Source organism: Homo sapiens, chromosome 7 (assembly GCF_000001405.40).
Source record: "Homo sapiens chromosome 7, GRCh38.p14 Primary Assembly".
Lineage (NCBI taxonomy): Eukaryota > Metazoa > Chordata > Mammalia > Primates > Hominidae > Homo > Homo sapiens.
This window is the reverse complement of record NC_000007.14, coordinates 134615769-134628443: the sequence shown is the minus strand read 5'-3', so window position 1 is coordinate 134628443 and position 12675 is coordinate 134615769. Positions and strand designations below refer to the sequence as shown.

Sequence of the window (12675 nt, the reverse complement as noted above, 5' to 3'; positions counted from 1 at the left end):
GAACAAACTTTTAAGAAATGTATTTCAGAAAGAGGAAATAGGATTCTAAAAAGTTCAGAGTATTCACATGCAGAAGAATACAGTTGGACTCTAACCTCACACCATATACAAAAATTAACTCAAAATGGATCAAAGACCTAAATTTAAGAGCTAAAATTGTAATATCCTTAGGAAAAAAACATAAGGGTAGACTTCACAATCTTGAATTTGGCAATGATTTCTTAAATATGACACCAAATGCACAAGCAACAAAAGAAGAAGTAAATTGGATTCAAAAGCTTTTATTCATCAAAAGACATTACCAAGGAAGTAAAAAGACAACATAGAATTATTTGCAAATCATATAAATGATAAAGATCTAGTATCCAGAATATATAAAGAACTTTTACAGCTCAACAACAAAAGACAAACATCTCATTTAAAAATGGGCAAAGGACTTGTATGGACATTTATCCAAAGAAGATGTACAAATGGCCAACAGGCACATGAAAAAATGTTTAGCATTGTTAGTGACTAGGGAAATGCAAATTGAAACCATAATGAGATACCACCTCATACCCACTAGAATGGCTATCATCTTTCTAAAATGAAAAATAATGTGTTGGAAAGGACGTGGAGAAATTGGAGTCTTTGTACACTACTGGTGGGCATTTAAAATGGTACAGCCACTGTGGGAAAGAGTTTGATTTCATAACCTACTAATAGATTGTAACAGTTTGGTGATTCTTCAAAAAATTAAACATAGTATTGCCTTATGAACCAGTAATCCTGCTCCTAGGTATATACCCCTAAAGAACTGAAAGCAGATATTCAAATAAGTATTTGTACACAAATGTTCATAACAGCACTGCTCACTGTAGCCAAAAGGTGGAAGCAGCCTAAATGTCTATCAATGGATAGATGGTATATTCATACAATGTATATTCATACAATGAAATATTCAGCCACAAAAAGGAATGAATAACTGATACATGCTACAACTTGAATGAATCTCAAAAACATGCTAATTTAAAGAAGCCAGACACAAAATGCCGCATATTGTATGATTTCATTTATGTGGAATATCCAGAATCCATAGAGATAGATAGCAGGTTACTGATTTCCAGATGCTGTAGGGGAGGGAGGAATGGAAAGTGATTGCTTAGTGAATAGGGAGTTTCCTTTGTGGCTGATAAAAATGTTCTAGAAATAGATAGCGATGATGGTTGCACATCACTGTACTGAATGCCACTGAGTTGGGGTTAAATGATTAAATGGTGAATGTTGTGTTTTATGAAAGTTACCACATTAAAAAATTTCACAGATGCAAAGAAATTAGCAAACATGTAGGTAAATACAGACATTGTACATTGTATATTATGAGAATAAATGATTATAATAACATCTCATTTGTGTCGACTTAAAAATAAGAATAAAATCGTGCACACCATGAACACACAAGTTGAGGAAGGGGTAATCAGAGTTAAAGCATGTCCAAGTCCCTCTGAGGACCTACAAAAGCCATCTGCTCTCAAGTACTCTTGACTGATCCACAGTAAAAAAATGTTTTACATTTCCACACAGTGTACACACATATATTTATGACTGAAACAGGAATTTCATGAAATAACTTGCCCTAACCTTATGAGTGTTGTCCACTGATATTTTCTAATCTAATAAATTTAATTTCAAAAATGCTGATTGTGGCCATTAAGTTGATTGTATAACTCATAAGTGGATTGTAACCCATAGCTTGAAACACAGTGGTATAAAGAGCATGTGGTGGCACCCAAGTAAAGAGCTAGGCAAGAAGAGAAAATAGAGGAAAGGGTTTTGGTAGTTCAATATCCTCTCTAATGCTCTATAAGCAAGCATAGACAAATGGTAAATTGGCTGTTTTCCACAACCTTTTGAAGATATCTGTCTGCTTCAGTATTATAATCTCCATGGGGCAGAAGAATATTTCCACTAGTGCACTAGAAGCCTTTTAAACAATTCTGTATTTGAATAGTGTTCTGTGAATTGCCAAGACAAACTTTTCTTGAGTTATTCAATATGGATGCAGCTCATGGAAAGCATTTTAGATTCATACACATTGTAAACAGTCTACTTCAATTTGAAGAAATCAGATCTGATCTGTGGTCTTACACCTTTTTACCTTGGACAAGTCACTTCGTTTCTCTTGGTTTTAGTTCCCTCATTTGTAAAATTAAAGGGAACTTTTAAGTTCTCTTCCTAAAATAGAAATCTGTAATTCACTCTAAGTCTACACAGAGCCCCAACTTCACACACATACACATACACAAACAAGAATGCACTGCATTCAGGTGAAGAAAACTTAATGTAGATTTATTATTGAAATACCCACAGCTTTGCAATAATCTGTATTAAAATAAGAAGTGATGAATCAGATGATTTATTGAGCATATTTCCCACATATTTTCAGATACATAATTTTTTTATTTATAAGACATTTATTGTTTTTTAATTAGTTGCTGACTGGGTGTGGTTTAGTTTACTTATTGCAATGTCAGGAGCGTTACCAAGTTATGGAAGGGGATTATACTGGTCTGAGCCTGTACCATTAAACATGTCCATATCCCATGGTAGCTACATGGCTCATATTTAAATTCTTTTTCCAATTGTTGCCAAGTACTTCAAGTAATAATATTTGGTAAGTTATGTTTACACTTGAGATACAAACATCTGTTTTTTCCACCACAATTATTCGTTTGTGTTAGCTAGTCATTGTAACCATCCTTGCTGTAGAATCAGATGTGACTAAGAGATTCGGTGTTTTCAGTTCACCACTGTCTGGGAAGATTCCTATGAAATGAAAGAGTGGAAAACACACTCTCTGCTCCAGCCATACTGAACTATTTCCAGTTCCCTGAAAGCCTTTTGATCATTTTTCCTTATTGTCTTTTTTAAAACTTTTTTTTGTGGAAAATTTCAAGCATACATAAACAGAAGAATATAAAGGACATCACTCATCACTCAACTTGTAGTATCAATGTTCTGCCTCGCTTCTTTTATCTAAACCTCCACTCCAAACTCCTCCATCTGATTGTTATTGTTTTTACAGTTTTTAAGGTAAAATATACATACATTGAGATGCACAAGTATTAATTGAACAATTTGAGCTGTGTGTCTATACCCTCACCATATTTCCATCTCGTAAGAAAAAAAGTCCTCCCTTGGGAGCAATGCCCCAAACCCTCAAAGGCACTACTGAATTTTTTCACCTTAGATTAGCTTTACCTGTTCTAGAACTTCATATAAGTGGAAACATACAATATATACTCTGTTGTATGCAGCTTCTTTCCTCAGCATTATGTTTTATTCATGTTATTGGATGTATCAGTACAGTAATTCATTCTTTTTAATGCTAAGTGCTAATATACTACAACTTGTTTACCCATCCTGTTGTTGATGGACATTTGGGTCGTTTTCAATTTTTGACTACAGTGAATAGAGCTGCTATGAACATTCTTCTACAAGTCTTTTTGTGAACATGTATTTTCACTTACCTTGGATACTTACCTACAACTGCAATTGCTGAATCAGAAGATGTGTTTAACTTTATAAGAAACTGCCAAACTTTTTGTCAAAGTGGTTATATCATTTTATACTTCCATCAGCAATATATGTGAGTTTTAATTGTTCTGCATCCTTACCAATACTTGATACTGTCAGTCTTAGATTTTAGCTATTCTAGTGGGCATGAAGTAGAATAACATTGGGGAAATCACCACTTCAGACTCAATTTTTCCATCTACACAATGGTGCAGTAAGACTTAGAAGTCAAAGGAAATAAGTATTTGAAAGGGCTTTGTAAAGTGTAAAGCGTTGATCAATACAAAATATTCATCTTGACAGAAGCCAAGATACATGATGCTGAACATACCACGCAGTCCTCTGGGTATAAATATAGGTTGAAAAAGATTAGACTGGGAAATAAAATGTTTGTTACTTTGTAACCATTTCCTTTTTGTTATATTATTTTCTTCCTGGAAAATTATATATAGGAAGACAAATTCAGGTAGTTAATTAACTGGAACCCCCAATCATTCATTCTAATCACCGATAGGCATCCAATAAATGTTTAGTTAAGCAATGAAGTATTTAGTTACACATTTCTCATAAGTACATGAATGTTGCTTATATTGCCCTTTTAAAGAACTTATTATTTCTTTAAGGAGATATAATCAACACATCTTCAGACATAATCTGCCTTTGGTCTGTTTCTGTTCAAGCAATGCTGCAGAGGCTTTTAGCTAGCCTGCTACTTCCAATAGCTGTGATCTTTCTTGAATTTTCATAATTTAGCTAAATATTTACATATATTGACTATCAACAAAAACATAGCAACCACATAAATATATTTTATTTGAAGCAAAATATTGTACTTGTAGATTTTTTTTCTTTTTGTAATTGGTATTCAATGATGCCTTTTTGTCCTCACTTATCAAAAGGAATCCTTCTTTTAGTGAAGTTAATACATAAGGAAATCAGCTTGAAAACTTCATGAGAACCAGTTTTCTAGAATCAACATCAACCATTATCTCTTTGTAGCCCCCTGGAACCTTCGAATGGAGAGGGGAGGATTCTCTTCCTTCACCCTCCCCCATTTCCCATTTGGGCAATACAAATAGCCCAAGTCTTAGTTATTCATTGAGTTTGATGTTAAGAGGTACAAAAAGCTTATAAGGCTCGCATTCAAGGGGAAACTGGGCCAACTATAAAATCTAAAGAGAAAGTACGATGTGAAAATTGTATCTGAAGGATAAAAAAGTGTGTCTCACATATATTTGAATCAGATGAATAGTCAGCTACTTTGTTTCTCTAAGAAAATTAGTATAATATTGTTTTCTAGCATAGTAGGATACTTCTGTGTATAATAAAAGACATCCTCAGTGTATTGGTGTTTTGGTTTTACTCACTCACCTTTGCCCATTTTGGACAACAGAAATGGAAAGCAAGAGTAATTTTGCTGGAGAAAGAGAGATGGCTGATGCTGGTATGTGGATATGCATGTATGGACATGTAGACCAAGGAGTCTCCTGTGTTCCCCGCCCTCCACACTCTCCTTCAAACACATTAACACGACAATGAAAGTATTCTGGCAAGTTTGGGTTTGTGGATGTGTCATGGGTTGATAAATTTGGTAAGTAGTTTCATATAATATTTTCATAGGTGAAGAATCAGAAGATTATCAAAAAATTGAAATAGTGTCAGAGTTCTATAGCTCAGGAATCTCCTGGCATCCATATACCTTTTACTTCGCTATCCATTTAAATATTTCTTCTAAAATCCCAATGTCAAACCCAGAGATTAAGACCAGAAGCTTGATCTGATAGCCCTCCTCAAAATACTTATCTTCCAGGTACTTTAAGGTTAATTTCACTGATGCCGTCTAGTGCTACAGTTTTGTCTCATGATACTTTTAGAGAAGTGCTTGAGGTTGATATATGCAATGCAAAGACATCTACTGGCCCAGTCACAGGTCATCTAATTTTCCATCTTTTTGCTACTCAATTCAAAATTGAAGACTTTGTAAACTCTCTGTAACCAATTTCCTTGTAAACGCAACTCATTTCTTGCCCTCCCTTTCCCCATGCCTTCTTTCCTGAGAAAACTGGGGCAAGTATTCATAAACATCTGTTGTGGTTGTTCTTTGATTCGTTGCAGATTTATTCTGTGTTCTGTTATGTTCTTTGTCCTGGGAACCTGACCTCTAGGTACTGTGTTACCGAGGTTCCCTTGCCCTCTGGTCAGTGGGAGGAGAAGATGTTGGAATATTTATTTTCAATATATCTCTCCTCACCATTTATTCCCACTCACCATCTGCTTCACCGTGGTTCTATCAATGGCCTCATCACTCAAACTATAGCTACCGTTGGGCAGCCCATCTTGACTCTAACTCTTAGCCAGTCTCCAAAAATTGCGTTTTCTCCCCCTACTGTTCAGGCCTGGGGATCATCAGAACTCCCTGCTATTCCTAGTGTCTGGGCACCTCAACATCCCTTGCTAGTTCCTCTAACCCGAACCACACCTCTAAATATTTCCTTTATGAAAAAGCCTCTACACAACAAAGCTGAGTGTGCTGTCTCTCTTGCTGAGAGGCTGATAGAGCCTCCTGTCTTCAAGTTCTTCACAGTTCATGAGACAGTGTCAGACTTAGGGATCATAGACTCCCCTAAGCCTGAAATTTAAAAAGTACCTGAGCACACAGACTCACATTTCCCTCTGTGCACTCACAGTACTTAGAGGGAAGCATGATGTCAGGAATAAAAACAAACTGAACTAATTAAATAGGAACATTTTTCTGAAACACCCTATGCCGTTTGAGTTAGAAGCCCATAGGAAAATATTATATTTGCATTTTTTCGGTCAAGAATGATATTTTCTGGGGACAGAAACAGAACTTGGGAAGATAATGACCGTTTGTGGAGCTATTGGGATGTGTATCAGCTATTGCCACAAAAATTCTGTGTCACAAACCACCCCAAAACTCGGTATCTTAAAATAGCAATCATTTAATCTCACAGAGCTGCAGGTCAGCTGGGTGGCTCTGCTTCATCTTCTTCATGTGCCTTGGACCAGTGACTAGTCAAGACACACTCTTCTCGTTGCAATGACTAGTCAAGACACACTCTTCTCGTTGCAATGATAGGGGTGCAAGAGGCCAGGCCCAACCACTCAAGCACATTTCAACCCCCTATTTCTGTCACATCTGCCAAGGCAAGCCATGCAGCCAAACCCAAAGTCAAGGATTTGGGGAAGGATATTTCCCTTGTGGAGGTAAAAGGGGGAAGGAGTGAATATTTTTGAAAGTACTCTACCACAGTGGGCCAGCTACAGAAAAGTCATTCTAGAGTGGGCTACAGTTTGTTCAATTAAAGGCAGGAGAATTTTTGTTTCAGAGTTTTTCTTCTCATTCTTCGTAAGTGAACAAGAGTGACTTTACAGTGTACACTACTCAGGTGATGGGTGTACAAAAATCTCAGAAATCATCACTAAATAACTTATCCATGTAATCAAATACCACCTGTTTTCCAAAAACCTGTTGAAATAAAAAATAAATAAATAAAATCAAGCTAAATATCTTGGCATCCAGAAACTTTTTTAAAATGTAGAGATAGTATTGCCCTAGAAATAGAGGCATTTTGGGGTTTTAGATACCAATCAAATGTTATTATGAAGATTTCATTATCTGTTCATGGTTAAACTGGTATTGCCAGACTTTGAGACCCTAATCAAGCTTTGTCTATTTTTATTTTCCTGCAAGGTTCAGATCCCAAAAGAATTACTCTCATTCTGAATCCTGTCTGAGACTCAGTACACACCAATGAGTATGCCTGTTGGTAATTCTACAATCTGGATATCCAAAAAAGTGGCCAAATGGTCCAAAACTAATACTCCCTTATCTGTACAGGAGCTCCCTAATTAGTAACTAATTTGTGCTTTAACTAAGGTTTATTTGAGCCCCTCAATTTGGAAGGGGTTAAAGTTGAAGATTCCAACAGATTTCACCAAGCTTAGTATCCACCAATTCTTTCCTATCTTAAGAAGGGGAGGAAAATATTTTCCTTATATAGGATTGAAGAGGAACAAAAAGCCCTTAGTTATATTGATCATCGGGAGGAAGGGGAAAAAAACTATTTTAAATGGTTTGAAACAAAGGAACAGCAAAGAAAATAGGGAGCAGAACAACAGGAAATGTCCATTATGCTGCTAGCACAGTGTGTGAACCAAAGAGTGTCCATTAATGATGATTGACATCAATAGAAACATTAGCTTGCACCTCCAGTTCTTGAGGGACAGTACAGAAATCCAGAGCAGGGAGAAACAGTATGATTTGCAATCATGACAAACCTCACAGATCAGATAATCCTAGCACTGGAATTTAAGAATAAATTGGTTTGAATAGATGAAGAAGAAGGAAACAGTGCTAGAAGACAGAGAAAGTATATGAGAAAGGTTTTGGAGTTAAGAATGAACAAGAATGTTCAGGGAATAGTGAGACCACCTTAGCCCATATAGGAAAGTGGTCAGAAATTAGATGGGATAGAGATCATGGTGCCAGATTATGAGGGTCTTAATAGGCCAATTAATCTAAATTGTTATGTGGTAGATGTTAGAAGCTGTTGGAATTCCTTGGTGGAGATATTTAGTGCAAACAACTTCAGTTGTCACAACAGGCTAGTCTTCATTGTGATTCTTGGCTAGCTTTTGACTTGGAGATAGTCATGATCACAGTGGACAAGAGGGGATGATTCATGTGTGTTTCGACTCCTTTACAAATTTAGTTTTAGCCTGAATCATAGAAAGACTCTATAGCCTTTTCTCATGCATTTGTTGGCAGCAGCTGCTTGTTCCCATGGGAACATACACCACTTACCTACTCAAACCTTCCTTTTGCCCTCAGCTTTTATTCATTGAAATGTTTCATCTTTTCTACAAAGGATATTTACACATAAGCTTAGAGCATCATCTATTTTTTTCTTCCACAGCTGAGAATTCATTCTGAATATTTGCAGATACATAAAACTCCAGGTGTAACTCCAAGCAAAACATGATGAAAGAGGGAATTTGGATAAACCATGGAATGATGACATCACATTGAGCACCATCTGGTATAAACATTTTTGCTTTCTGCAGTGACCAGATGAAGGAAATATGGTGCCGTGTGCTTCTTCAGTGATTAATTCAGGAAAGCCTTTGCTGAGCTGAAATCCAAAATAGGAAGAACCCACCTTCCACATGTTCAAGAAGCTTGTGATCCCAGGGATGACACTGCCCTTTTCCTCTGAAGGAAAGAAGTTTCCCCTGACCATAATGCCAAAGCTACAAACACTTACATACCTCCATAATTTTGCACTGAACTCTGCTCACATAGTACACAATAATTTCTGCACTACTTTGTTCCTGTTCCAAATTCTAGTGGCTTGAAATCCAAAATAGAGGAAGTTAAATCATAGCAGTTGTACACTTTAGAGAAACTTTGAATTTGGCTACTAGAGATTTTCTAAGGTATTGCTTTTCTTAATTTATATGAAAACTATTGAGCTAGGTTCTAGATTAAGTGCTGGTGATTCAGACATGAGTAAGTCATGATGCCACCTCTGGAGTGTTTCAGGGAAGACAGTTACATAAAAACTAAGCTGTAATAGAATTTAATAAGTCCTTTAATAGAGGTGCAGAGTTCTGTGGGAACGTAGAAGGAAGAATAATTGCTTCTTCAGTTTCAAGGAGGACTTCACAGGGCAGAAGGCATTTGGGCAAGTCTTGAAGGATAAGCCAGGACTCCCCAAGTGGGGTGAGGGCACTTGAGGTGGAGAACAGATGAATAAAAGCAGCAAATGAATAAAAGCATCAAAGTGCAGTGTTGGTTGTTACTTCTTTTTATTCCAGATGAGACAAGCCAGGAATCAGGGCATACAGGGATCTGGGAGGCTGCTCTCTGTAAGCACAGCCTTCTCAGCACACATCTGCTGCAAGCCGAGATTTCAGGACTGCAGAATCAGGCTGACTGAATCATAAGGGTATTATGACTTCCTGGGAAACAAAATATTTGCAAACTCTTTCTTTTTTTCTTTTTTTTTTTCCTGGGACACGGTCTCACTCTGTCACTCAGGCTGGAGTACAGTGGCGTGATCAGAGCTCACTGCAACCATGAACTCCTGGGCACAAGTGATCCTCCCGCCTCAGCCTCCCCAGTAGCTGGGACTACTGCGTGCCACCATGTCCGGCTAATTTTGCAAACACTTCCATGGAAATGGAACAATGGCCTAAAAATAACTACAGATATTTCAGACTATCAGGATATGTGGTTTCTGGAAGAGGAGCCATATTTTTCTAAAGGGAACTTGAAGGAGATTACCCCCAAAGTTTCAGGGACTACAGGTGGTCTTAGTCTCCCTAGCCACATGAATACATCATTGTGTTTTTCCAGACCATTCACTCTTCACACGACTAAAATAGGAGTTCCCACCCTGTATCAGTTTCCTAGGGCTACCTTAACAAAGAACCACAAATTTGTGGCTGAAAACAACAGAAATGTATTCTCTCACAGTTAAGTAGGTCAGAAGTCTGAAATCAAGGTGTCTGCAGGGTTGGTTCCTCCTGGGGGATCTGAGGGAGAATCTGTTCCATGCCTCTCTCCTCGCCTCTGGTTTCCAGCAATCCTTGGCCCTTGTGGACACAGCACTCTAACCTCTGCCTCGTGCTTCATGAAACCTTCATCTGTGCTTCCATGTGTCTCAAAGTTCCCTCTCTTTTGTCTTAAGTATATCAATCAGTGGATTTAGGGCCCACCCTGAATCTAGGATAATCTCATCCCAAGATCCTTAATTATATCTGCAAAGGCCTCCTTTCCAAATAAGCATACATTCACAGGTTCTGGGAATTAGGATTTGAGCATATCTTTTTGGGAGGACACCGTTCAACGCACTATGCACCTTCTTTGTTGCACACATCTTGTGGCTTACTGCTAAGGTTGTCTTTTGAGTATCTACAACTGAGCTGTTTGACCTTGTCCAGAAACTAGATAAACTGGATACTAGGACAGAAAGACGCAGTGCCTTAACTCCCATTATCTAGGGGTAAAATAGAGGTCCTGATTATCCAGCTTCAGGTCTCCAAGAGTTTTCTTACTAGAATCTTTGACCAGAGGCTCATGAAGGGATGTGAACTCTGCTGTAAGACACCTAGAGTAAGACATGTTTACTGGAGAAAGGTGGAGCTACTTCACACACACCTTCCTTGCTTTTTATAGTCCCTGTGATTGTAACATACTCAGCCTCTTTTAAACTGGAACAGATAATTTACCACTCTTACAGTTAAAGGACATGTTGGGTTCTGATTACTTAGCTAGTCAGTGGTTACAGGGTCCACCAGAATCAAGAGACTCAGAGAGGAAAGCCAGCTCCCAACATTTATGGAGGGTAAACAAGTTTCTGCTAGCCCTCTATTCAGTTTTGGCAAAGAAACACCTTCAAAATGGATTGAGTAAAGCAACTTCTGCTTTGCTTTCCCATAAATCTCTTTTATCTCACTTTGCTTTTAACATATTCTCAAAACTCTTGGAATTCAGGATTATTGTCTCAATAAAATTTAATTTCTTAGCCAATAACTACATAATGTCTTCCTGGAGCAAGGTTACATGTTGGAAGTTGGACATAAAGCATACCCAACCTTGGTTAAATCTATTTCTCCTCCACTCTGTCTGCACCCAAGCAGTTGAACATGGCTGGAGAAAGACAAAACTCTGCCGACTGCCCTTAGGCCACTCATCTCCCATGACCCTTTGGTGCTGCTTGGCGATCCTTCTCCCTGTTCCTCATCTATTCTCAATCCTGGATGATTACTTCCCACCTTCTCCATTCTCCTCAATACTCCAACATCCCCTCTGCCCCAATCATCAGATATCAGCTGACTTGCTTGTTTCTGTCAAATTTATCAGAGCTCAGAAGCGAATTTCTACACACTTCACCACCTGTCTGCATCTGTGGTGGAGTGTGTAGACCCTTCTGCCTTCTCTCTGTTGCTATTGACAAGTGGTCTCTGCTTCTAAGGAAACTTCCTCTGCTTGTGCACAAGATCCCATTCCCTCTCACTTATGAAGGATAACACTTTCATAACTATCCTTCTTTTCCCTGCATCATCAGTTTTTCCCTCTTGACTGAATTAATCCCATCCACATACAACCATGCTACAACACTTCCCTTCTCAAACTCTCTCTCTCTCGACATGCACACCCCCTTCAGCCACTGTTTTATTTCTCTACAACCAACTATTTGAAAGAGTTGTCTATACAGGCTGCCTCCAATTTTACTTCTTTGGAACTCACGCCCTATCCTGAACCACCTCTGTAAAACTGCTCCTGTCAAGGTCAACAGTGGCCTCCAAGTATCTAAATCCAATGGTCAATCTTCAATCCTCACCTTATTTGACCTTTCTGCAGCATTTGACATGGTTGATTCTTCCTCCTGCTTGGATTCTTCCTCTCAACTTGGAGTCCAGAACTCTACTCTCTTTTTTTTCACTGGCCTCTCCTCAGTTTCTTTTCCTGGTTCCATCTTATCTTCTTGACCTCCAAATGTTGGAGTGCTACAGCACTTTGGTGGCCAGACCCCACCTTCTCTCTAACTTCACTCACTCCTAGGATGACATCAGATACTCTCATGCTTGGGTGCCCCACTCATAGTCCCTCAAGACTCACCTCTGCACACAGAAGGCTGATTACTGGGGGCACTTCAGATTCTCTGCCTTGGGGCCTTTTCTTGACCCAGGGAGCTCTGGACTCTCTTGCAGAGAAGCTGGAACTGCTGAAGAGTTAAGCCCCCAAAGCAGGCCTTGGCCAAAGACGGTTGAGGTTTGATGGATAATTATTTAGCTTTCTGGTCCCTCAGTTAGGATAACTTTAAGGCCTCTTCTACACTGTCTCCCAGAGTCCCACAATGGAACTAAACATCTGTTATCTGCAAGAGTAACTTACTTCATAATGCACCGTTTATTGACGTCCTTCCTTTTCCTGTCTCAATTCCCCATTTCTCCACCAGTATTTCTTGGACTCTCCTCCCAAATAAAGTATTTACACTAACATCCTTGTCAGGATCTGCTTCTAGGGGAACCCAAGGTAAAACAAATACTATTGATATGCCAAAGACTCCCATGTTTATATCTCTAGCT

The 12675-nt window shown here is 38.5% G+C and overlaps 1 long non-coding RNA gene across 1 annotated transcript in view; it reads left to right on the top strand.

Moving 5' to 3' along the window:
• The window catches only part of LOC124901750 (uncharacterized), a 224798-nt gene extending 215441 nt beyond the window's left edge, over positions 1-9357 (top strand). Inside the window, exon 2 of the long non-coding RNA XR_007060537.1 lies at positions 8496-9357. This is a non-coding gene — a long non-coding RNA (uncharacterized LOC124901750). The remainder of the gene's footprint in view (positions 1-8495) is intronic.
• Positions 9358-12675: the final 3318 nt, after the last annotated feature.